Source organism: Homo sapiens, chromosome 17 (genome assembly GCF_000001405.40).
Source record: "Homo sapiens chromosome 17, GRCh38.p14 Primary Assembly".
NCBI classification, from domain to species: Eukaryota; Metazoa; Chordata; class Mammalia; order Primates; family Hominidae; genus Homo; species Homo sapiens.
The window spans coordinates 11,294,578-11,321,183 of NC_000017.11; the positions used below are offsets into that span (position 1 = coordinate 11,294,578).

Below are 26,606 nucleotides of genomic sequence, written 5' to 3' on the forward strand. Positions count from 1 at the left end.
CAATATATATTTTTTTCATAGCTTTATTTTTCTACTGTTGATAACAGATGAAACTAAGAAAGTCAAATACAGTATTCCTCCCTATCTGAGGGGCTATGTACGTTCCAAGACCCCCAAGACTGAATGCCTGAAACCAAGGATGGTACCAAACCTTATATATACCCTGCACAAATCTCTCTTTGCTTCTTCATAATTTCACCACTAAAAGATTGGTTCTTACAATAGACATTAGCAACCTCAGCCTATAAGTCTTTTTTCTTTCTGTATTAAGTTGAGAACTTTTGTGTTTTCACTTTAAGGAAGCACTTTACAGCTTCTCTTTGGCATATCTGACTTGCCAGTATCGCTACTCTGTGCTTTGGAACCATTAAGAAGCAAAATAAAGCTTTTTCAAGCCCGCACACTAGGATAGCGCGGCAGTCGATCTGATAACCAAGACAGCTACTAAAGTGACTAATAGGCAGGTATCCGGTACAGTGTGAAAATACTGGACAAAGAGATGATTCACGTCCCGGGTGGGTGGGAGATTTCATCAAGCTACTCAGAATAGGTGAGCAAATTAAAACTTATGAGTTGTTTACTTCTGGAAATTTCTATTTAATATTTTCAGACTGCAAGTAATTGAAACCGCAGAAAGCAAAACGGCAGATAATAGGGGACTACCATATCAGTCTTCTCTTGGAGTACCATAGTCACAATTGTACCATCCAAACTAATGAGTATTCATTCATTCTACTAATGTTTATTGAGCACCTACTAAGTCTCAGGCCCATGATGGATTCTGAGGATACAGCTGTGAATAAGACTCTGAATTCCCTGCTCTTGGCAACTTACAGTCAGTGGGGGAGACAGACAGTAAATAACAAACATGCCCACATTCCAGTATTTAATCCAAATTAATACAAATTATTGTAAGCTCTATAAAGGAAATAAAGGTGACACAATAAATGATGGGAAGGTGATGTTGGAAGTAAAGAAGTGGATGCAATAAATGAGTCATAAAGGATTTTGTAAATGATAAAGGATGACAGGGACAGTCCTAGCAAGCCATTTTGAGGAGGTGACGTTTGAGCTGAGACCTAAAAGATTAAAAGGAAGTCATGGGGCCGGGTGCGGTGGCTCATGCCTGTAATCCCAGCACTTTGGGAGGCTGAGGCAGGCAGGTCATGAGGTCAGGAGATTAAGACCATCCTGGCTAACACAGTGAAACCCCGTCTCTACTAAAAATACAAAAAATTAGCTGGGCGTGGTGGCGGGCGCCTGTGGTCCCAGCTACTCAGGAGGCTGAGGCAGGAGAATCGCTTGAACCCGGGAGGTGGAGGTTGCAAGTGAGCTGAGATCACGCCACTGCACTCCAGCCTGGGTGATGGAGCGAGACTCCATCTCAAAAAAAAAAAAAAAAAAAAAGTCAGGGGAGAACATTCCAGGCAATGGGAATAGCAAGTGCAAGGGCGCTGATAAGCCAGAGAGCTTGGTTTGCTCTAGGAACTGTCAGAAGACCAGTGTGACTCCTGCGTAGTGGAAGAAGGGGGTGTGAGGGAAGGTTCTAGAGAGGAGGCCAGGGCATGCAGAATTATACATGCTGCAGGAAGGGACAATAGGAAGCCCTGATGGAGTGGACACTTGGGAATGACATGGTCATCTTTACATGTTTGAAAGATCTTTCTGGCTGCTGTTTGGAGAATGGGCTGAGGGGCACAGGAGTGACTTAAAGGAGACTAGTTAAGATTATAAGAGTAGTCCAAGGAAGAAAGAAGATAGGGGCTTAGAGTAGGTGGTGGAAAGGAGCGTGCAGAGAATGGGAAGGCTACCAAATAGATTTCAAGGCAAAACCAGTGGGGCTTGATTTGTGTATGGATTGGGTGTGGGGATTGTATGGATTAGAAAGGGAGTAACTGAGATGGATCCCAGGTGTTTGACTATAGTGGTGCCATTTAATGGAATAGAAAAGAGTCCTCAGTAGCCAGTGCTGGATGCTGGAAATGAAGACTTGTGTTTTGGACATGTTACGTAGGAGACATTGCTTACCTATAGAGCCCAGGAGCAGCCTGGGCTGAAATATAAATGTGAGTATCTTCCTCTAGGGAGTATTGGAAGTGATGGGGGGATGTCTCCTAGGAACAGAATATTGAGCTAGGGGAGAAGGGGCCCTAGGACTAAGTACTGAGGGACTCGAAAACTTGAGGTCATTTGCATAGCAGGAGCGTGGGAAGAGCCCCAGGTAGGAGCTGATCAGAAAGGGAGTAGAAGGAAATCCAGGAGGTTGTGGTGTCCCAGAAGCTAGAGAAGAGAGTGCATCAAGAAAGGGGAAATAACTTACCATGTGTAAAGCCATGGAGGGGCTAAATGATTAGAGAACGGAGGATACCACTGGGCTTGTAACATGGAAGTCAACCGCAACCTCAGAAAGAGCAGTCCCACTGGGGCTTCAGGGACTCGAGAGGCCAATTTGGATGAAGCAAAGAGGTGGATGAGGAGAAGTAGAACTGTGCTGATGACATTTTGGGAAGTTTTGCTTGGAAAAGGAGTAAAGAAATGGTGCTGGGGGCATATGGAATCAAGAACGTACCTCTTATAGATGGAAGACACCAGATCATGCGTGTTTGCCATAGAGCTCCATCTAGTGGAGAGTAAGAGTTTGGAGATGGAGAGAGGGCATGCAGAGGAGTGAAATCCAAGAGAAGTTGAGTGTATTAATTAGTATATAGGTTTGGCTGTATGTAAGGGAGACCTCGAGTAGCAGTGGTTAAATAAGAAAGGTTATTTCCTCTGCAATGAATAGCCCAAGATAATTGTTCTAGAACTGGAATGATCATTCTACTACACGAGGTTGTTCACGAAGTTGGCCCCTTCATACAGCTTGTTCCTCCATCTCTAGGGTCCTTGTCTAGGGGGTCCAGGACAATATAACCCTGCATCCACACTCCAAGCATCAGGATGGAAGCGAGGGCAACAAAGGAGCAAGCTGTCCTTCTGAGGCTGTGCCCCAGAGGTTACTCACATCCCTTTCTTTCAAGTCATATTAACCAGAATCTGGCCACATGGTCATGCTGAGCTACAAAGGAGACTGGGCAATACAGCCTTTGTTCTTAGTATCTGTGTGCTTAGCTGGAAATCAGTTTTTCTTACCGTAGAAGAAGGGAGGGGAAGCTGCTAGGACCCTGTCCCATCCAAGTGTAGCAGTATCTTGTGGTTTCTGTCATGGTCAAATAGGAATGGAATCCCTAAATGAAGTGGGGAGATATTGCCCTTCAGCGAAAGAAGGAGCAATTAATTCCTTGGTGTTAGCAGGAGGAAAGAGAAAATGGATGGCGGAGCTGGAGGGTTTGTTTATCTGGTGGTTGGAGGACGAGAAAGTTCCCATCTGATGCCTTCTGTTTTCTGAATGATACTTGAGGTGAGGTTATTAGAGGTTGAGGATGGAAAGCCAAAGAGTTGAAAAGATCATCATAATTGTTTCTAGTTATGGTGTGCTTATGTTATGCCAATCTCTGCTCTAAAACCTTTACATCTATGAATTAATTTATGTAATATTTTGAAGAACAGATGAGGAAGCTGAAGCCAAGAAAGTTAGTTCCTTGATAAAGATCCCACAGCTAGTAAGTGGTAGAGCTTGGACTTGAACCTGAGCGTCTTCATTCCAGCATCTATGTACTTTACTTCTGTGCCTACTGCCTCTAGCCTGGAACCAGAAATATGAGATCAACCACTTCAAGAGTGGGACACACAATAAGAGAGGCTGCCTGGCCAGACTGAGTGCCCAGTGGAGATTTGTGCTCGTGAGTTTAATGTGAAACCAATAAGCTCACTCATACAGTTCTGGGAAGGTTCAGCTGCTGAGTGCAAGTGAGGAGAAGATGGTAGTTTAGGGTGTTCCAGGTGAGTATACCAAAGAGAAACACAGCTAGAGCCTGGAGCCTGTTGGACATGCAGATATTATCATGATAGACTACTGAACTCAGGCTGGGCCAGCAGGCAACAGGTGATGACAAGGAGGGTGTGATGGCCAGTGAGAAAGCAGTGGGGTCAGTGCCATGGCAGCTGGGGAATGTGCTAGGCAGTGTTGCAGTGGGGTGTTTGCCATGATGATTCTGAAAGCAGTACAGATTCTGGTAACGTAAGACCCAACATAGGAGTCTGGAGTGGATGGCTGAGGGAAGGCACAGTGAGAACCAAGAACACTAACAAATGACTCCCAGTGGCCAAACCATGTTCCAAGTTCACTGTCAGCAGCTAGCTCAAGGAGGCAGACCTCATCGCTGGGTTAAAGGGAGAGTGAGGAGCCTAGCTTTTGCAGCTACTCAAGGTGGCTCTCTGAGGGTGGACTGATGTTAGAGGTAGATTTGTTCAGGGATGGTAGAAAATCAGAGTCAGCTGCTGAATGTGCTTTGGGTCTAGTCTATTAGGTTGATGCAAAAGTAACTGCAGTTTTTGCCACTAAAAGTCATGGCGAAAATACATCCCCTTTCCTTCCATGACCAAGAATGGTTGAATCTTCTGTAGCTCCCATGTCCCTTTCACAAATAAAAGAGCTACTCTTCAGTAATAAAGCATTAGGATGGACCACATTTCTTCATTGTGTCATTGTGACCTCTAGTACATTCTATTCTCTGTCTGGATTTTAATGTTCTCCCCCATAAAATAAAGCAGTTGGATCGGAATAATCATAGCTAATATTTATTGAGAATTACTGGGTGCCAGATGCTATTCTAAGTGATTTACATACATTATATTACATTTAATTGTCCTGAAAGCTCCATCAGAGGTAGATATTACTATTTCTGGTGTTTTTTTTTTCAATGCAGGAACTGAGACACAGAGAATAAGTAACATGCTGTATTCATTTCCTATTAACTGCTAAAACAAATTACCGCAGATTTAAACAACACAAATTTATTCCCTGTGATTAAAACAACACACATTTATTCTTTTACATTTCTGGGCCAGAAGTCCAAAATAGCTTTCACTGGGCTGAAGTCAAGATATGTTAGGGCTGGTTCCTTCTGGAGGCTCTAGGGGAGAATCGATTTCCTTGCCTGTTCCAGCTTCTAGAGGCCATATGCATTCATTGGCTTACGGTCCTTTCCTGCATCTTCAAAGTGCATCACTCCAATCTCTGTTTTCCCCATCCCATCACCTTCTCTCTCTGACTCTGACCAACCTGTGTCCACTTATAAGGATCCCGTGTGGGCCTACCCACACAATCCAGGGTGGTCTCCTCATCTCAAGAACCTTAACTTGATCCCACTTGCAAGGTTCCTTTTGCCATGAAAAGCAACACCTTCAGGTCAGGTGCGGTGGCTCACGTCTGTAATCTCAGCACTTTGGGAGGCTGAGGTGGGCAGATCACGAGGTAAGGAGATCAAGACCATCCTGGCTAACACAGTGAAACCCTATCTCTACTAAAAATACAAAATATTAGCTGGGCGTGGTGGCATGTGCCTGTAGTCCCAGCTACTTGGGAGGCTGAGGCAGGAGAATCGCTTGAACCTGGGAGGTGGAGGTTGCAGTGAGCTGAGATCACGCCACTGCACTCCAGCTTGTGCGACAGAGCAAGACTCCATCTTAAAACAAAAAAAAAAAAAAAAGAAAAACAAGAAAAAAGAAAAAAAGAAAGGCAACACCTTCACAGGTTTAAGGACTGGGATGTGGATATCTTTGGGAGGCATTTTTCTGTTTACCACAATACCCGAAGCATGAGTTCCCAACCAGTGTAGACCTGGGCCCTGGGCACCACTGTGCCGTACTGACTTAGGATGGGCAAACATGGGGCATGCAAGCCACTGCCCTTCTCTTCGTGTCCATGGAGCACTGGCAACTGACTGCAGCCCTCTTTCCTTCAGAATCCGAGTGCATCTTAGAATCCTTCTCAACACTGTTTTCCAGGCAGCCCTGTCAGTTGACCCGAACTGTCAGGCACGATGAAGCCTGTGGGCCATTTTCAGTTTTGATCTCTAAGTTTTCATCTGGGTGTCACATCCAAGACACCCGTGGCACCAGTGAGCTTTTAGAGAGTGAGTTGTGGCAAGCCTGTGTGCCCTTCTTGGGAGAGAATTCCCTTTTTGCCAGTTTAGGACTTTTTTTTCTTTTTCTTTTTTTTTTTTTTTGTAATTCAGTGACTGTGGGTTTAAATATTACCCCTTCATAAGAGATGGCTCTAGGAAAAACAGGCTTCTTATTTCAATTCCCCGGCATACTGGCCAGGAACCTGGCTCTTTGTGAAATGCTAGTTGATAATTTCAGTTTGGGTGGTAGGGAAGGGAGGTGGAGCACATGGGGGAACACAGCCCCACCCTCCCGCCCCATCTGCTTGTGCTTCAAGAACATACTGTAATTGTTCAGCCCTGTATGGGGTGGGGGGAGAGAAAATCACAACATGTTCACACAGAAGAGAAAACAAACAGCCTTTAATACCAGTCAAGGGAAACACGTTTAAAGAGTTTTTTTGCAAGGCCTGAAGCAAAAGAACTTCTCCAGTACAGCTGCGTGGAGTCCCGTGCTCAGCTTCACTGTGGGCCTTCCACGTCTAGCTGTCAGAGCCTCTCTGCCTGTGCTGAGCCCGGTAGCAGACCCCTTTAATGCAGCTGGAACCCTCACTAGTTTTCTTCCTCCCTAACAGCCTATGATGTAGTGGTGGGTACTGGGGTGGGGAGCATTGGACCCTCAAGTTGAAGTTGCACTGTTTATCTCCTGGGTGCGTTGCAGCCCCCAGGACCATTAATTACACATTCTCCAGGCATCAAATTCCCCAGGTGGGTAAATAATTCCATTGCAATAAGGGGATGGTACATTGACCTTTATTTGTCTTTCTAATTTTCCACTTCTTTGGGGGCTCCGGGCTTTGCTAGGGCCTAATGAGCTCTAGTCCAAATGATTGCAGCACTTTGGGTCAGTATCTTCCTAAATTCACTCCTTTGCAAAGGTGCTGACCAGAGAACTGTGATAAAGGCTTTCCCCACTCTGGTCACACCGTGCATGAATGAGTCTTTCTCTTCCAGGCGTCCTTCAGTCAACCTCCTTGCCGTTCCCCTCCTTCCTGCCTCCTCCAGCCAGAGGCAGCTTCCAGAAAACTTCCCACTCTTACTGCATTTCCTATGAACGTTCCTGCAATCTAGGTGTGTCCTTGTGGATCCCCAAGTCAATGTCATGCCGGTAGAAAGGATGGGAATGCAGGTGTGACTCCTTCAAGGAGAGATTTCTCATAAGGGGAAACTGCCAGCTGTAGGGGTCCTCTCCCTTTGCATGGTTTTGGCTTTAGGAGCCTTGTATTCGTCCGTTTTCATACTGCTGATAAAGACATACCAGAGACTGGGAAGAGAAAGAGGTTCAGTTGGACTTACAGTTCCACATGGCTGGGAAGGCCTCAGAATCATGGTGGGAGGCAAAAGGCACTTCTTACATGGCGGCGGCAAGAGAAAATGAGGAAAAAGCAAAAACGGAAACCCCTGATAAACCCACCAGATCTTGTGAGACTTATTCACTATTATGAGAATAGCACAGGAAAGACCGGCCCCCATGATTCAGTTACCTCCCCTCCGGGCCCCTCCCACAACACATGGGAATTCTTGGAGACACAATTCAAATTGAGATTTGGGTGGGGGCACAGCCAAACCATATCAGGCCTAGAGCTTAACTTTAGGCCTCTGTTGGAGTTTTCTGAAAGAATTCAAATTTTGTCAGGCTCAGTTTCCTGACAGCAAAATTTGAGGAGTTGTAGAGAGTGAAATAGACCACAAAATGTTATGCTGGAAGGAACCTCCTAAGTTTGTCCAGTATAAAGTTCTTATTCTGCACATGAGGAATTTGCTCTTAGGTCCAGCAGCCAGAAAGTGGCTGACCTGTGTCCAGAATCCAGGTCCCAGGACATCCAGATCTTTTCTCAGCTCATTTTTTACGTGGTCACCTATGCATCTGCCTGTATTTTATTGCAATAAGGGGATGGTACATCTGGTACATGAACGTGCCAGAAACAGGCAAGCATTTCCTTGCCAGGCCTAAGCTTTTGAAAAGCAAGAGAGAGAGGGAGAGAAGCAGATGTTGAGGAAATAGCCTGAGTGCATTGGTGGCCTCTGGAACATCTGGACCAGTCCAAGCCGTCTTTTGCTTCCAACATTGGAAGTCCTGCTTAGGTCCTAGCAGGAAGATGATTTGTGATCCAACCATTTCACATATAGGGCCAAGAGGGCAGACCCGAAGGGTTGCAGCTCTCAGCAACAGCCCTACCCAGGGACCGAGGTTGCTATAGAAACAATATGGGGGTGGGGGAAAAAGCAGAGAGTCATCCAGGTGGAGAGGAGGGGGGCGTTTGAAATGAGAGGTTTCTAGATGAAACAGACTTCCTGCAGGTTCTGCTGGAGTTTCATTGAAGGCTGATGGCTTTGTCATTTCCCATCAAGCTGGGCTGTAGCATGGGGTGTGGAGGGCTCCTGGGAAAGAAAGACGTCTGACTGAGTAGTGTGATGACGCCCCCAACCCAGTGCAGTGCAGTGCAGTGAGCAGCCTATGTGCTTGTATGATTGTGTGATACATACACAATTGTGATTACCTGTGTGTGTGTACGTATCAGTGTGTGATTTTGTGTGTGATTACCAGTGTAGTTATGTTTGAGTGTGTGTGCTTGTGTGGTTTTGTGTGTGTGTGTGTGTAAGATTCAGTGTGATTGTGAGTGTGGTTGTGTGATTGTGGTTGTGAGTATGTGTGTGGTTTTATGTGCAGTTGTATGGTTGTGTGTATAGTTGTGAATGTATGTGATTGGTTATGTGTGGTCGTGAGTATGGTTGTGTGTGGTGTTTTGTGCATGATTCTGAGTGTGGTTGTGTGTGTGATTGTGTCTGGTTGTGAGCATGTGTGTGTGGTTTTGTGTGCAGTTGTATGGCTGTATGTGTGGTTGTGTGTGAATATATGTGATCACTTGTGTGTGACTGTGAGCATGGTTGAGTGTGTGATTGTGTGGTTGTGTGTATGTGAGAGTGTGATCTTCTCTGATGCTGCCATGAGGTGACGGGATTTTTTACCTGTAGGAGAGCCACACAGAAAAAGGCCACATGCAGAAGGCTGAGCCTGGGGAGCCATCTCCAGCATACAGAGGACAAGGGAGCCATCAGGCCTGGTGCTCTCAAGCCCCCAGTCCCAGTTGGCCATGCGTGTCACTCAAAGACCCTTCTCTGCCCTCAATACCTGCAGCACAAAAGGTCATAATAAAAGCTCGTTGTAAGGATGACTCCTCAGAGGAGTGTGCTGAGTTGGGGGTAAATGTGGGGATGGGGACATGCCATCCCTGCTTCTGTGTTTCCTCCAGTTGTGTTTCTAGGGTGGGCCTGAGGTGGGTACAGCAGTGGAAGGGCAGGTGCCCGAGAAGAGGCCATGTTTCCAGCGTGCCAAAAGCTGCAGGGCCTGACCGGCTCCATATCCAGGAGCAGATGTGAGGATCCCCAGGCCTCACTGTTTCTGCACAGACGAATGGAGCAGAAGGCCATATCAGGAAGGCCTTCTAGGATAGAAGCCCTTTCCTGGGAAGCTTTGGGTAGTTTGCACCTTTCCTGGTGAGCGATAGGGTCCCCAGTGGGTAACGAGGGCCTGACTGGCCAAGAGGCCCCTTTGCTCTAGGGGAGCTGCCCTGCTCCAGTGAGAGGGGCCCTGGAGGGGTCAGTGCCTGGAGTTGGACGAAGGCACTGGGGAGGTGGCCGGGTGGCAGTGTGAAGTGGTGCGAACAGGAAGATGTGAGCTTCACGAGCAGAGGGAGGATGATCACACAGCATCTCACGTCCTAGGCTCAAGATCTACCTTTTCCTCCTACAGCTTTGATCTCAACACCTGCAGTCAAAAGATGACGGCCCCTGCTTGAGCCTTGCTCTGTGAGGTGGGGAGGAATGATGCCTGGGATGCCTGGTACTGGGATGCAATGGGGAGAAGCCAGCAGAGAGAAGCAAAGGGCGGGTGGGTGCTGGGAGGTAGGAGAAAGGGTATTTTGCCAGCAGCATTTTGAGCTGATTGGAGAGGAAGTGAGGAGTGGGCACAGGTTGGGGAGGCATCAGAAGACGAGATGAGTGGGGACCACAGCACCCTTTAGGGCTATGCTTCAGTGATGATGCCAAGGAAGGAGTGCCAGTGAGGTGTGGAGGAGAAGAGAGAAGATCCCAAAATAACTCTGGGAACTTTCCAGGGACACTTCAAGCCGGAGTGTAGGGAAACTCAGCCCTGAGACTTGCCAGAACTGTTCCCGGTAGGAGCTGGGGATGAGGGCTCGGTGCCAGGCAGGTCTCACTGCGCTTGGCCACTTGTAAGAGACCTCTTCCTGCTGGGCTTCTGGGTGGCTGGTTGGTCAAAGAGGACCAAAGAGAAGCAGAAGCAGTGCTGTGATAGTTCCTCAGACCGCATGTTTCGATGCACAGCTTTGTTGTTCCGATTTTTATGTGGTTCAAAGAGTCCTTCCACAGTTACAAGACTAGATGTCACATTGACCTGTGGTGTTGGGGCTTTTGAGGCACTTCTTCATGCGTCACATCTCATCCCTGGTGAAGCATAGCACCTGCTGGTGGTGTGCCCTTGGGCGAGTTCTGGAACAACTTTTGTGCCTCCTTTTCCTCTTACAAAAAGCAGGGCTCCTAAGATCAACTCATTAGGGGTATACTGTTTACACTGAATAAGCAAGCATTCATGAAGCACCTAGGACATTGTCAGCATTCCATAAAACTAGCTACTTCATGGATCTTTGTACAACCCTTTTAACCATGAAGTCATCTTTATAGTCAACAAGTAAGAAAACCAAGATTCAATGAATTTAAATAAATTTCTGAGATCAATAAGCAATGCACAGGAAGAGGGGGAGCAAAGCTAATGGAAACAAATTGCAACGTGTCCTGGAGAGCCCCTGAAATGGCGGGAGAAGGGCCCGAGTTCAGGTTGCATTGTCTGTGTCGCCTCACAGACTGCTGCACAGCAGGCTGGATTGACTGATGAAGCCCGCTTGGGATGACACACTCAACTGCTGTGACAGAGATTCAAACATGCATCAAGAAATCGGAAGTTTCTCTCTTTTGTAACAGTCTTTGAGTTTGGTGTTGCGGGTGGCTCTGCCATTCCCTAGGCCCAGAACCCGGAACATTTTCTTTGTGGTCCAAGCTGGACCACAACAGTCTGTGCTCAGCCCTCAGGGCATGACAGAGAGTGGAGGAGACAGGCCCACCCTGCCCCGAGCCTCCACCTGCGTGTAGCACCATCACGTCTGCTTATGTCTCGGAGCGGAGGCCAACAGCTAGGGAGGCTGGGAGATGGGGTGGACTGTCCAGCTGATGGCCAGGCTCTGATTTTATTACCACAGAGAAAGGGAGAAGGCATTATTTGTGGGCAGTTAGTGGTCTTCACTGTCATAGTCAGCGCCTCTGAACACCAGATGCCTGTGCGTACCCTTCTTCTTACAAACAGGACATCTGCCACCGTGCCCCAAAGCAAACAACCCCACCAAACCTCATCAGCTATGAAGACCTGAAAAAATAGCTCATTTTACTGAATGCTGACAGTGTACTAAGTGTTTTATAAATTGTTGCTTATTCACTGCAAACCATATACCACTAATTAGGTTGATCTTACCTAGGTCTGAGTTCAGGATCCCTGGATCTTAAGCAATTCTCCTCTCATGAGGTCTGGATTCCCGATCCAGAGGTTGAAAAAGGAAAGTAAGTGATCTCAGCCTTCCCCCACCACAAGCCTTCATCCATCTCCCCAAGACCTCCCCATACAGGATGCAATGGTGGAGCAGAGCCGAACAATTCACAAGAACAGTTTCCATTGAGAAAAGAGAAGGAGGGCCACAGAGCTGGGCCACAGCAATGATGGGCTTCTGCTGGGTAGAAATTGCCTTGAGAGTGGAGGAGGTTTCTGATTGAGACCCTGGTTCCGCTCTCTGGGAAGCATGCCCTTGTTTATGGCCATGATATACTGTGTCCACTGTATTCATCCTTGGGGTCTTCGTTTGTGTCCTCTGTGACTGCACCTGAGTGGGCATTGGTGAGCCCGCCCTTTGGAGTCTGAAAACTTCGTTACTTGCTTATTTTTTGGATGTGATAAGGGCTGTGGTGGCTTTAGGCACAGAACAGTCACAGGTTTTTTCAGGCCCAGTCCAGTCCTTCTTTGGCAATAAATTCCCACAGATGACTTAATAGGCTTCTGGTCTACTTGCTTCCTGTCAGTTCCATGTTCCAGCAACTGCACTTAGTATTCTTTCCTAGACATCGCTCTTAAATCTGCTTTATCCTTTGCTTCTTTGACCTATCCCCATCTCCTTTATTTCCATGGTGACTTGTCCCATCCAAAACCAGCCGTAGGAGTTGGTGGAAAGGGAAGGCAACATCCTTAAGTTGATCTTTGCCTAAAAGATGCCTCTGAAAGAAGGCTTTGAAGAAAGCAGTGTATCTCCTGATGTTCAGAATATGGAAGCAGATGGCATTTCAAGCCCTGTTTCTCGCAACCCCCCAGTGGAAAAATTTTATTTCTTCTATATCTCTTTGCAAAATAACCTTTAAGACAGTGCCATATATTTATTTATTTATTTTTGTTTGTTTGTTTTCTTTTTTTTTCTTTTTTTCTTTTTTTTTTATTATACTTTAAGTTTTAGGGATATATTTAGTACTCTGTTGTCTGTACCAGTTAGAGTCTAAGTTGCTCTACTCAAGAGATCTCCAAATGCAGTGGCTCTATTGAGATAACTGTTGCTTACACAACTATCTGAGTTTCAGGTTGACAATGAGCTCTGCTCCATGCATTAGCTTGGGGAGCTAGGTTTCTTCCATATTGTTCGCCTGCCTTCATTAAGTCATTGTCCGTGTCTGCATAGCCAAAGCTGGGTTCCAGTGTCAATTCTCCAGCTTATCGGAAGAGGAAAGCAAGAGGAAGGAAGCAGGTCCATCATCTCTCAGCTTTCAGCCCAGACGTGGCTCACAGTACTCTTATTCATCTTTCTTAGTTGAGCTCATAGGCACATAGCCACACCTAACAGCAAGGGAGGCTGGGGAATGGAGTGTGTGTCTGGCCACCTGTGTGTCAGGTTATTGTTCTCCTACCATGGAAGACGGGGAGAATGGATTGGGATGGACATTGAGCAGTGTGCATCATTCATGCTGTTTGCATAAAGTCTATGCTCTCATGAAGTTTACCTTGACTTGAGGTAAACAAATATTCCAATTCATAGTATAACTTCACATAATGGTACATGCTATGGAGAAAAATAATGTGAGTAAAGGGATATTGAATAACGAAAATTGTTACATAGATAGGATTGGAGGACCCTTAGAAATGCCAGCCCAGCCTTTCATTTTACAGATGAGAATGTTGAAGGTAGAATAACTAAGAAGTGTTTAGTATCAACAAGCAAATGAAAGGAGTGTACTAGAAAAAAGGCAGTTTCTTCCGGTGCCTCCAAATAATACAGCGGAGTTTGGTGTCTGAGCTGTTGTCCTGATGGTCTGACTTTGGTGGGGTAAGGAAGTGGGCACTAGGGAGGTTGATGCCCAGGTCACCAAAATCTATCATGGAAGGGCAGGGTTAGGGGGCCTTTAGAAATGCTGGCCCAATCTCTGATTTTATAGGTGAGAAACCTGCAGTCCAGAGGGACGAACCATCTGCCCTGAATTTCCTTAGTGTTTTGGCTTTTTCACAATTTCTGTTCAGGAAGATGGCCATGTAACAGGCAGAAATGCCAGGGTGGAGAAGGCACAGCTAAAGAAGCAAACTGCCAGAATTCCATCAGGGTGATCCCAGCTCCCTAAACACACAAACATCTGCCTCTGCCCAACCCTTCCTCCTAACCTCATATGTGCACAGGAATGCAGCAAATTAACCTCCTGGAAATGGCAGGAGCGTGGTTTTCTCCCTTCTGCATCCAAGGATACCAACGGAGCTTTCTCTTTTCCCCTCTACCAAAGGCCACAGTATCTCAGACTTCCCAGTACAATTTCCAGAGTGCTTTATTAAATAACTCACTAAACACCCCAGATACTGTGATCGGCTACGTTCGCTAAGCCCTCCTCATTTCACAAGCTGATCCAAAAAGCAATCAAGTTTGTCCAGCATGATTTGTTCTTTAATAAAGAAACTCTGCGATCTCACAGCTGATCTTTGCCCAGGGCTCAGGCTGCAACCAATACTTGAGTTCTGTTGGGTAAGTATCCACAGGGGAATCTCTCCATGCTCGGTGGCTGCGATGCAGGCAACAGCTGTAAAGAAAATGCTTTGTTATGTAAAGGGAAGAACAGGCAACCTTTCAGAGTCAGACTGGAAGGCACAGTGGCAAATTAGTTCGGTAAACCTGTAGGCTCTCAGTTTCATACTTTCACCAGATACTAAACTTCCAAAGATTGGGCACTGCCAGTGGAGCACGAATCATCCACGTGGCTTTTTAAATTTTTTTTGAGACAGGGTCTTGCTCTGTCACCCAGGCTGGAATGCAGTGGCACCATTATAGCTCACTGCAGCCCCAAACTCCTAGGCTCAAGCAATCCTCCTCCCTCAGCCTCCCGAGTAGCTGGGACTACAAGTGCATGCCACCATGCTTAGCCAATTTAAAAAATGATTTTAGAGATGGGGTCTTGCTATGCTGCCCAGGCTGGTCTTGAACTCCTAGACTCCAAGGATCCTTCTGCCTCAGCCTCCCAAGTAGCTGGAATTACAGGCTCAAGCCAACACGCCCCACTCCACATGAAGCAAGTGTTTGCTGGCAGAAGTTATACAGAACTGGCCTTCATCATTTAGGGAGAATAAGTTACTAGTTGGGCCTAATTGCAGCTTGTTTTCTGTAATAATTTCAGTCGATGAATATGATTGTTTCTCATGTGGAACCTGTATCTATTCTGTAGGAGATCCATCTTATCAGTGACCAATCTGTTGTGTTTCTTCTTTTGGAAGCAGGAAGATAACCTGAGAACCTGGATTGGGCCATTCCCTGCTTTTCCTTTTTTGTTCTCTTACTTTCTGATGCTTTGATGTTTTAACTTCTGATGTTAGATTTTTACCCTCTTGTGGGTGATAACTGAATTCTGTGCAGTGGCCATACTCTAAGGCATCATCAATAATTTACAGAGTGGTTTGTCAATAACTTTAGCTCTTTATTAAATCAAGTGAATAGATGTTCCCTATGCAAGCATTTGCTTTGCCCCGGCTTTGTGTGATAACTTTGGCAGCTCACTTTAGAAAAAGTGCTTGTTTCTCTTTTAAGGTTCTTCCTGTACAGAGAGATTTCTGTGCTTTATCTTGATTTTGGATTTCCTTTCCCCATTTTCAAATCTGGAATATAAGTGTCAAGAAAAGGGATTTGGTCATTCATTCACTCACTTATTGAGGCATTGTCCTCAGCTGCATGGCCAAAGCTGAACTGCAGCATGAGGACATCCAGCACTTTTCAGGCTTCAGCCCAGAAGTGGCTCATGGTACTTAATCACCTTTCTTAGGTGAGATCCTAGGCTCATGGCCACATCTGACAGCAAGGGAGGCTGGGGAGTGGAGTGTGTCTGGCTAGCCATGTGTGTTAGGCTGCAGTTATACCACAGAAGATGGGGAGAGTGGATTGGGATGGACAGTCTCCATTATACATGCTATTTTCTTACTGTCTTGACTTGAGGAGGTAAACAAATATTCAAATTCATAATGACTCTGTGTGCCAGGCACTGTTTTAGGGTTGAGACTACCAGAATGAGCAAAATCTGTTTACATATGTGTCATAATACTGCTGTCAACCCAAGGCTGTTGACAATCAATAGACAACTAAGTCCATTGTATAACTTCACATAATGGCAAACTGTATGAAGGGAAATAATGCAGGTTAGGGGATATAAGATGATCAAAATTGCTGCTCAGGGTGGTCGAGAATGACAAAGCCAGAGAATGCAATGCCCTGAGACTGGCCTGCAGTTGAGTTGTTTGAGGAACATCAAGGAGTCCTGAATGGCTGGAACAGAAGGAGCATGAGGAGACAGAAGAAATGAGGTCACTAGAGCCCATCATGAAAGACCTCGTGGGCCAGAGGAAAGCTCTGGACTTTATTCTAAATGAGATGGGAAGCTCTTAGAGGGTTAGGGGCAAGGAACAGACAAGATCATATTTATGCTTTAAAAAGATCACCTCTGGGCTGGGCGCGGTGGCTCATGCCTATAATCCCAGCACTTTGGGAGGCCGAGGTGGGCAGATCACAAGGTCAGGAGTTCGAGACCAACCTGACCGACATGGTGAAACCTGGTCTCTACTAAAAATACAAAAATTAGGCTGGGCGCTGTGGCTCACGCCTGTAATCCCAGCACTTTGGGGGGCCTAGGTGGGCGCATCACAAGGTCAGGAGATCGAGACCATCCTGGCTAACGTGGTGAAACCCTGTCTCTACTAAAAATAGAAAAAATTAGCCAGTGTGGTGGCAGGTGCCTGTAGTCCCAGCTACTCAGGAGGCTAAGGCAGGAGAATGGCGTGAACCCAGGAGGCGGAGCTTGCAGTGAGCTGAGATTGCGCCACTGTACTCCAGCCTGGGTGACTGAGCGAGACTCCATCTCAAAAAAAAAAAAAAAAAAAAAAAAAATTAGCCGGGTGTGGTGGCAGGCGCCTGTAGTTCCAGCTACTCAGGAGGCTGAGGCAGGAGAATCGCCTGAACCTGGAAGGCAGAGGTTGCAGTGAGCCAATATCGCACCACTGCACTCTAGCCTGGGAGGCAGAGCAAGACTTCGTCAAAAAAAAAAAAAAAAAAAAACCGACAAACAAAAAAAATCACCTCTGGCTGTTGTGTGGACAGGAAACTAAGTATTTTCTTTGGAATCTTTGCATTTATGCAGGTGAGATTTTCTTGTTTGTTACTATATGATGTGGCAGGTCTTGGAGTCATGGCTATACTAGTAAAATGCATTGGAAAATGTATTACAAATCTGTTGTAACACAATACTAGTCCAATGAATTGGAATGCTTACCTCTTTTTTCCTTAGCAGCATAAGTATAAGGCATTCCTTGAAGCTTCAAAACCTCTTTTGTGGGGGAACAAATTTGGAAAATTCTTTCATAATCAACAGTGTTTTATGTTTTTTAAATTATACTTTAAAAAATAGCACACCCATTTTATTGGCATTTTCATATAACTACTCTGATGAGTTTTAATCTCTCCATTGTTAATTATATTTTCTTTCTTATTGCTAGAGATAGCTAGCTAGATATTTAGATTTCTTTTCTTTTCTTTTCTTTTCTTTTTTTTTGAGACAGAGTCTCACTCTGTTGCCCAGGCTGGAGTGCAGTGGGGCGATCTTGGCTCACTGCAAACTCCGTCTGCCGGGTTCAAGCGATTCTTCTGCCTCAGTGTCCCGAGTAGCTGGGATTACAGGTATGTGCCACCACGCCTGGCTAATTTTTGTATTTTTAGTAGAAATGGGGTTTTGCCATGTTGTCCAGGTTAGTCTCGAACTCCTGACCTCATGATTCGCCTGCCTGGGCCTCCCAAAATGCTGAGATTACAGGTGTGAGCCACCACACCCAGCTGTTATTTTTTCTTTTGTTGATAAAATATGTCAGAAATTATAACGCTTTACTTATTTTTTTTGGTCACTGAACTAAGTTTAGGACTTATTTATTACTTACATGTTTTCTAAATGTATTAATTGCCACTTTTATCCATTAATCCTTTTCTCTTCATTTCCCTGAGTTTTATTATCTAATATACTGTGTTGAGGGCTTAATTAATTTATTATCATGTTTTTGTTTAATTATTAAATTATAAAAACTATGAATTTCCTTCTTATAACAACCCTTTTCACATTTTGTAATTTTTGCTATGTATTATTCTCACTGTTTGTTATGGTTTTTAATTAGTCAATTTGTTTACCTCTTTAATACAAAAGTTACTTAAGATTGTATTTTTCTGAAAATAATATCTGTTGCTTTGAAAACGCACTTCATCTATAAATGAATAGGCTAAAAAGCAAAATATACCACTCACCTCCTTTTTTACTCCTAGATCAATGATTCCTTAGTTGTCCAAAGGGATCACTACCTTTAAGAGGAAGCATCCAAAGAGACCTTGTCCAAACACATATAAAACAATATAAGCATATATGGTTTTGTCAAAATGAAGTAATATCATAGATGTCCTCCCAATTTCTTTATTTATTCAGGAATAAGCTATGGCAGTATCCATAGTTCTATTTCATTCTTTTTAAATGGTCATTTTATAATATGGAATAAATGTATCAAATCATTCCCCTACCAGTGAGCATATAGGCATCTAGGTTGTCGTTTTTTAAAAACAATATATATTCTCCTTGTGCACTTGTGCAAAATTTGTATAGAATGCTAGATCAAAATTACTCCCATTTTTTCTTTTTATAGGTAAAGGCGTTGATGTGCTTATAAACTCTGTCAAACAAACAAACAAAAACAACGATTTGATTTGTACCATTTGCCAATTTCCCTGGTGTAAAAATTCCCACCATGGGCAACTTCAAGCTACCAACTCCTCTAAAAAATATTCTTAAATATTTAACTACAGACTTGTGTAAGCCAGTTCAAATCAATTCCATCTGATCCTAGCACACCACTTCAAAAAGCTGAATTGCCTCTAAAATTATTGGGTTAGTATATACTCATGCAGTATCTGGTAGTGCACCTCTCTCTATAACTTCAGTAACCCTGAATGTTAAGAATTTTTCTATTTTTCCAATCTGAGTTTTAAAAATTGTATTTCACTGTTGTTTAGTTTGCTTTTCTTTTCATGTGTTTAAATACCACTTATATGTCTTCTATGAATAGCTTATTCATATTATTTTCCTACCCTCTTTTTTAAATTCAACAACATTTTGAGTCCTTTCTACATACTGTGAATTCCTGTAGCTGCTAAGGATAGAAAAGCGAACAAGATGGATTCTTTTCTCTGTTCTAGTAAAGGTATTCTAGGGACATGATATCCAGAAACGAGTAATCAGACAGACAAAATTATTGCAAATTGGAAGCAAACTATGAAGGTGGGAGCTATACATGGAAGCTAAACTAGAAATTAAAAGGGGCATCTCTTTTAACCGTTACCTTTTGGGAAGCCCTCCCTGGGGAGGCGGCATTTAAGCAGGGATTTGAAGGGTATGGAGGAGTCAGCCAGGTCAACAGGGTGAGCTGACAACTGGGAAATTGAGGTGGTGTTGCTAAGCCTTCCAAACAGCAGCAACAATCTCTGCAATCTTTCTGAGAACTCAGGGAGATTAGGGAAGACCAGCAAGTCAAGAGCCTGGTGATGCTGGAGGAGAGATGAGTAAGATGAAGACGGAGAGAGAGAGAGAGAAGGACCAGGGTTGGATGGCCGGCCACTGAAGGTTTTTAGGTAGAGAATGATGTAATGCTATTGAAAATAAAGATATACTAATATCTTTTACAACTGTGCATAGAATAGATTATAGAGAGGCAAAAGAGGTATCTGGGAGTCAGTGAAAAGAGACTGTGCTGTGATCATCCCAGTGAACAGCTCAGAGAGTCCCATTCAAACTGAACTCTGTGCTCTGCTGTTACTGACAGCCCTGTGGACCAAACTGACAGACTATGCCCTTGTTTCTTTATTGGTTTTTAGGAGTATTTTAGAAAATAGATACATTTTGGTTACTATTTAAGTTGCAAATATTTTTCCATAGTTGATTATAACCTATTTCATGATTCAAAGTATTAACATTTTAAATTTTCATGAAGTTGGGTTTGTTCATTTTTTCCTTTATTGGTGCTGAGTATTTTTTTGTCACATTAGGAAGAGCTTCCCCTCTGCAAATTTATAAAATATGCTTGCATGTTTTTTTCTTTCAATGTCTATATTGGGGGAAAAAACTTTAGATTTTAAAATGAATCTGTAAATTACTTTGGTCTATAAATAAGGTAGGAAACTAAGATATATATTATATATATATTTGTGAATATATACATGTTCACTGTGTACTTTTACGTCATTCCATACTGTTTTTTCATTTTTTTGTTTTTTTTTTTTTTTGAGATGGAGTCCCGCTCTTGTTCCCCAGGCTCGAGTACAATGGCACAGTCTCGGCTCACTGCAACCTCCGTCTCCCGGATTCAAGCAATTCTCCTGCCTCAGCCTCCCAAGTAGCTAGGATTACAGCTGACCACCTCCACGCCTGGCTAATTTTGTTTTTTATTTTTAGTAGAGACGGGGTTTCACCATATTGGCCAGGCTGGTCTCGAACTCCTGACCTCAGGTGATCCACCCGCCTCGGCCTCCCAAAGTGCTGAGACTACAGGGGTGAGCCACTGCACCTGGCCCATGCTCGTTTTTTCAATTGGAGCTCTATAATCCATTTTGATGTCTGGAAGTGTAAATCACCCCTCATCAGATTCTTTTACAAAATATTACTGGTTGTTCATGTGCATCCACTTCTCTTTATGACTTCTAGAATCAGTTTGTTCAAGTTTTATTTTTAAATAAATCAGTGAGATTTTAGAAGGGGACATGAATGGAATTCATAGCTTAATGTGGGGCAGATTGACATTTTAAACATCTTGAGTTTTCATATCCAGAAATATGTCTTTTCAGTTGTTCAGACTTTCCTTCTTGTCCCTTTGGCAAAATTTTCAGTTTTTAATCCTAGTGTTCTGATACTTCCCTTGTGTTTATTACAAGGCATTTTATCATTTTTCTTATTAAATAAATGGAGTTATTTTTCATTGGATTTTGCCAGTATGTGGGGAAAGTTATTGATTTTTCTGTGTTTTTCTGTAACTTTATTGAATTTTCTTCCTAGTTTTAATAGTGGTTCAGTTGACTGCCTTGGATTTTGTAAGTAAACTGTCGTATCACCTGCAAAGAATGACAGCTATGCCTCTTCTATTTCAATATTTATTTCTCTTCTTTTTTTTCTTATTACATTGATTCCGACCTCTTTAAAAAAAGAGAAATATAGCGGTAACAGGCATCCCTTATAGAAATGTCTTCTGGGACACATCACTTAGTTAATCTTTACAGGTTACAAAAAAATGGCTTTTTACTAAAAAGTGACTTTTCAGATTACAATATTGACATTTAAAAAAGATTTTTTTAAAAAATAACTTTTTCTGCACTTCGAATGATCATACGATATTTCTTTTTTATGTCATGAATTATATAACATATTTTGATTTTCCATTCTTGAACTTTCCCTGCATTCCTAGAATTAATTCACCTTGGCCTTGATGCTTTATTGTATTACTACACTGATAATTTGTTTGCCAACATTTTATTCAGATATTTTCCCATCAAAATTTGGTTTGGTTTAGGTATGAGAGCCAAACATAGAGTTCTGAGATTTCCCTTATATTTATTACAAGACATTTTATCATCTAGACTTAAAAATCACTGAATTTTTTGTTAATCATTTTTTATGCTCTGAAGTGGTTTAAATAACAAAAGTGATATATATTATTTAAAAGTTGTATCAAACTCCATCATCAAGTGATCTGGTGCATTTTGAGGAAAGTCACTCTTTGCCTATCTGCTCATTATCTTCATTGCTACTGACACATTAATTTTCATTATATCCTGAGCTAATTTTGTCTAGTTTATCTAATGCTTGGAATTTATTGATATAAAGTTGAACATAGTGTTTTTAAAAAAAAAATTAGTTGTAAAGTTTTCACAGTAACTCTTGTTACTTTTGCTTTGCCATTTCTGATGTTGTGTGGGCTCATGTGAGTTTACTTTCTTTAGCTAAGACCAGTTTTTCTGTTTTATTTACTGGACTTTTCAGTAAACAAGGTTTGGGTTTGATTTTCAGGTCTTTTTTTTTTTTTTTTTGTATTCAATGGGAATCTCCTTGCATTTCCATTAGTTCCATCCTTCTCTCTGTCTCTCTCTCTCTCTCTCTCTCTTTTTTTTTTTTTTTTTTTGAGACGGAGTCTTGCTCTGTCGCCTAGGCTGGAATGCAGTGGCGTGATCTTGGCTCACTGCAACCTCTACCTCCTGGGTTCAAGTGATTCTCCTGCCTCAGCCTCCCAAGTAATGGGGATTACAGGTGCGTGCCACCACGCCCGGCTAATTTTTTGTATTTTTACTAGAGATGGGGTTTCACCATCTTAGCCAGGATGGTCTCGATCTCCTAACCTAGTGACTCGCCCACCTCGGCCTCCCAAAGTGTTGGGATTATAGGAGTGAGCTACCACGCCCGGCCCATCCTTCTCTTTTATGTAGACTTAGTTTCGTTCATTCTTATTTTCTTACAAATGTATTTAAGTTGATAACTTTTCCTCTGAGTTAGACTTTGGCCACATCTCCTAGACTTTGAAATATAGCAGGAGTTTGTTTTATTATTTTTTAAATGATGTGTAATTTTAGCTTAATGTCCTATTTTACATAAAAATTACTTGGAAGAGTTTTTATGTTTACATTAGAAAATATTCCAGACAGTTATGATTTTGGCTGTTACTCACTAATATGTATTTTAATTTGAGAATGAGCTCCTGTTACCATTTCTACATTGAGAGGCTTATTGATATTTTTTTCTGGCTTAATGACTGATTTTTCTAAATGTTTTATAGATGTTTGGAAAATACATATTTTATGTTTATATGGCTACCTGTTTTTGTGTATAATTTATATATCTTATTTACTATTTGGCTCTATATTTTAAAAACCTTAGTGAATTATTATGTCTTTTGTCATAATTGTAGTTTTGTCAAACTCTCTTTTATTTCTTTGAATTTTGCTTTAAATGTTTCTCTATTGTATTTTATTTTTGTTCAAAAAAATTTATGATTGCTATTACTTTGGTTTATAGTTTTTACCAAAATGCAGTATTTGTTTTTATCTGTTTTGATGCTTTTTTTTTGCCTTGTATTATCTGTTACCTAATATTTCTAGTCCTGATTTCTTATTGATCATAAACATATAGTTTATCTTTGTTCAGCACTTTTTCTGCTTTTCTGTATCATTTTGTTTATAGAATATATATACATAAATACACATATGTATATTTGGTGGTTGTTTGTTTTTACTTCTTAGGAATCCTTGAAAAATAATTGAATTGCATTTCACAACCGCAGTTTAAATAATTATTTCGATTTTGTTTTTTTTAAACTTTGTTTTTGTTTTGCTTACTTACTTGGGTGCCTGTCTGCCTGTTTTTCTTCCTTTCTTCCCTCCCTCCGTTCTTTCCTTCTTTTGCTTTTATTTTTGTTTCTATTTTGGTAGTCTTCTTTCCGTTTTAAAAACAGATTGAATATTTGGTTGGCAAATTCTATGAGTGTTTATATTTCTGAAAAAATTCTTTATTTTATTATTCTAGATATAATTATTTTAATTCTTTTTGTTAACTTTTTTTATTATAGCAAAATTTTAGACAAATACAAATATATGGGGGTGGTAAGGTAAACCCTTTTTACTTATCCCTCAGCCATTCTTGGCTTATCTAACCTGTCCCTGCCACTCATTCCACCTGGATTATTACACTTCTGCATTGGATTATTTTGCAGCAAATCACAGACATCACATAATTTAATCCATAAATAGTAAATTTTTTTTATGTATTTCTGAAAGACAAAAAGACAAAGGCACTTTTTGAAAATATAATCACAGTGCCATTATCACAGGAAAAAATGGAGCATTACTTCCTTAGCACATTGAAATTAGATTCAAATTATCTGAACTTCAACACTTTGAAATCATCGTTCCATTGTTTTATGACACCTAGTTTTGCAGCTGAGAAGTATAATACTAATCTCTCTTTGTAACTGCCTTTAGTCTTGCTTTTCGGAAACTGGCAATATTTGCTTTTTTTACTTGGGATTTACATATTTCATGTATTTCCTTATCTTGTGAGCTCCGACCACACTAGGCCTCGTTTGGCTTCGTCCTGTGCCAAGCCACAGGGCCTTTGCACAAGCTGTTCCATCTTCTTAGAATGCTGTCTTCACATGTACCATCTGCCACCCCCTAGGAGGTTCTTTCAATGTGAGCCTGTCCCCTGCTTCCCTGACTGGCTACCTGGGCACCCTCCTGGCTTGCACTGCTATAACACCATTTACCTGTTCCTGGTTGCTCTTATCAGAACTGCAAATGTGCATTTTATGTATGTACGTATGTGTTTAGGTATAATATCTATTTTTCCTACTACCATAAGCTCCATGAGAGTAGGGACTGTGTCTGTTTTTACTCTTCGTTGCATATGCAGTATCTACCATCGTTCTTCACATTTGATAAACGTTTATTAAATGCTTGAATTTTTGGAGGAATAAATGACAAATATCCTCATAAGGTATTCAGTGTCTTTATTATGTAAATGACTTTGGATTTTTTTTCATTCCGTCCTTTTCTGTCCCTGCTCCTAGAATTCTCATTAGAAGGATATTCGATTTTGCTCAAACTATCTGCAGTGGCTTTTAACTTTTCTCTCATAATTTGGATCTGTTATCCTTTTGGCTAGAGTCTACTAATTTGTACTTCAACCTGGTCTATTCTAGTATTCAGCTCTTCATTGGTTTTTGTTTTTATTATATTTTATTTTCTAAGACCTGTATTTCTTCTTATGTTTTTTTTTTTTTTTTTTCCTTGAGATGGAGTCTCGCTCTGTCACCCAGGCTGGAGTGTAATGGCATGATCTTGGCTCACTGCAACCTCCGCCTCCCGGGTTCAATCGATTCTCCTGCCTCAGCCTCCCAAGTAGCTGGGATTACAGGCCTGTGCCACCACGCCTGGCTAATTTTTGTATTTTTAGTGGAGACGGGGTTTCACCATGTTGGCCAGGCTAGTCTCGAACTCCTGACCTCAGGTGATCCACCCGCCTCGCCCTTCCAAAGTGCCGGGATTATGGGTGTGAGCCCCACAGCCAGACTGTATTTCTTATTAATAAGAGGGTATGGTTGTGTCTGGTGTAATAGTCTCTCAAAGGTCTCTGAGAATACTGATTTTACTTGTTTTAAACTTGTTTTCTGTTTCTTGAGTTCACTCTATCTTCAGGGATTCTTTAGTTGGTTCGCTCTGATACATCTTTTTCATACTGCTGTTCTCCTTGAGGAGTTGCAAATGTGGATTGCCTTCTTACTTTTAAAATTAATACTCTAACCATCTAAATAAGTCATGTTTGACTAGCCTTCTTTTACAAATTGAAAGAAAATGATAACATAGTAGCTTTATGATTATTCAAATTCTTCTAATTCTCCCTCTTTGAGGATATAAACACTGTTCAAAATGTATTCAATTCCTTAAAGTGTTTAGCTAACATGAAGTGAGAACCACATTGCTAGTCATTGGAGACAGACATGAATAGGTTTCTGTTCTTTTCCTTATCAGTTCGGTTAAGTAAGGCAGAAAGTACATGTAAACAGGTCACAATACTGCAGTGTTAAAAACAATTATGACAGCGGATTGCCTAAAAAGAAAACTAGAAGACAAGAATTTGGAAAAGTTCTAAAACGTTTGAAAGGGAAAATCAGTGGCTATTTCCTTTTTGTGTCCCTAGGGTTCTGAAAATCAGTGGCTATTTCCTTTTTGTGTCCCTAGGGTTCTGAAAGATAGTAAATACTTCATGTTTAATAGATGAACTGGCATTCAGGGAATGAGGAAATTAATGTAGGCTGTTGGAGCAGAAGTCTTCTATTTCTTAAGTAAATATTTTCAATCATTTATGTGGACATAGTGAAGAAAACTATTCTGAACCTTAGTTGTATCTCGACTCTTTTGGGTACATTGTAGATAGCTTTGATGCTTAACAATTAAGTGACAAATAAGCTGTTTCAGAGAAATTGGGAAGCAATAGGTCTTAATTCCCCAGTCTGTAATTCCCTGGTGTTTGTGCATGGGGGGTGGGGCTGGTATAAGAGAGAGAGAGAAGAGGCTGGGTGCTGTGGCTCATGCCTGTAATCCCAGCACTTTAGGAGCCTGAGGCAGGTGGATCATGAGGTCAGGAGTTCAAGACCAGCCTGGCTAACATGGTGAAATCCCGTCTCTACTAAAAATACAAAAATTAGCTGGGTGTGGTGGTGGGCACCTGTAATCCCAGCTACTCAGGAGGCTGTGGCAGGAGAATCATTTGAACTCTGGAGGTGGAGGCTTCAGTGAGCCAAAATTGTGCCATTGCACTCCAGCCTGGGCAACAAGAGCGAAACTCCATCACCAAAAAAAAAAAGAGAGAGAGAGAGAGAGAGAAGAAACCAAGGAGGAGGAGGAGCAGCAGCAGCCGGAGCAAAACACAGGCAACTAAAGGGACATCTGTGAGAAGCACTCATTTTTAGAGCCTACATCCTTTTCTTTTGCATGACATAATAATGCCTTCAGGAGGCAGAGAACTCATGTATGGGTGTGACATACCTTGTTTTCCAGAGAATCATCATTTTGTGAAAATGTATCATCTGAGTGTAATTCAGGGTGGGAAATGTGATACCAGACAGATCATATACAGATGTAGATTCCAGAAAATGCTCTTTCATGTCTGTATTAAACTTAGAAATTTGGATTGCTTTTTTAAAACACTAAATACCTACTTAATATCACATAAACAAAGTGGCGTATATTTTTCTCACCAAATAAGAGGGATGAAGTATTTATGAAGCAGCTCAGTGATATACTAGCCAGCATCTTTGTCATTGTATTGGCCTTGATCCTCAAGTCACAAGTTATCTACTATAGTGCCATGCATCAC

General features: G+C 42.3%; 1 protein-coding gene and 1 long non-coding RNA gene across 4 annotated transcripts in view, besides 1 other annotated feature; one reads left to right on the forward strand and one right to left on the reverse strand.

Annotated features, from left to right (window-relative positions):
- SHISA6 (shisa family member 6) overlaps positions 1-26,606 on the forward strand; it is a 322,851-nt gene that overhangs the window by 53,365 nt on the left and 242,880 nt on the right. The window lies entirely within an intron of this gene.
- Positions 2,319-2,487: a silencer, noted in NCBI's record as "fragment chr17:11200213-11200381 (GRCh37/hg19 assembly coordinates)". NCBI's record gives its function as "represses an EF-1alpha promoter that drives an FKBP-Casp9 reporter gene in an ReSE screen in phorbol 12-myristate 13-acetate-treated (for megakaryocytic differentiation) K562 erythroleukemia cells {active_cell/tissue: K562(+PMA)}" and the evidence as "EXISTENCE:reporter gene assay evidence [ECO:0000049][PMID:32094911]".
- LOC124903929 (uncharacterized) lies at positions 13,944-18,049 on the reverse strand. Its single transcript, XR_007065623.1, has 2 exons — positions 17,954-18,049; positions 13,944-14,210 (listed from the first exon to the last, which is right to left on the reverse strand). It is a non-coding gene; the product is annotated as an uncharacterized LOC124903929 (long non-coding RNA).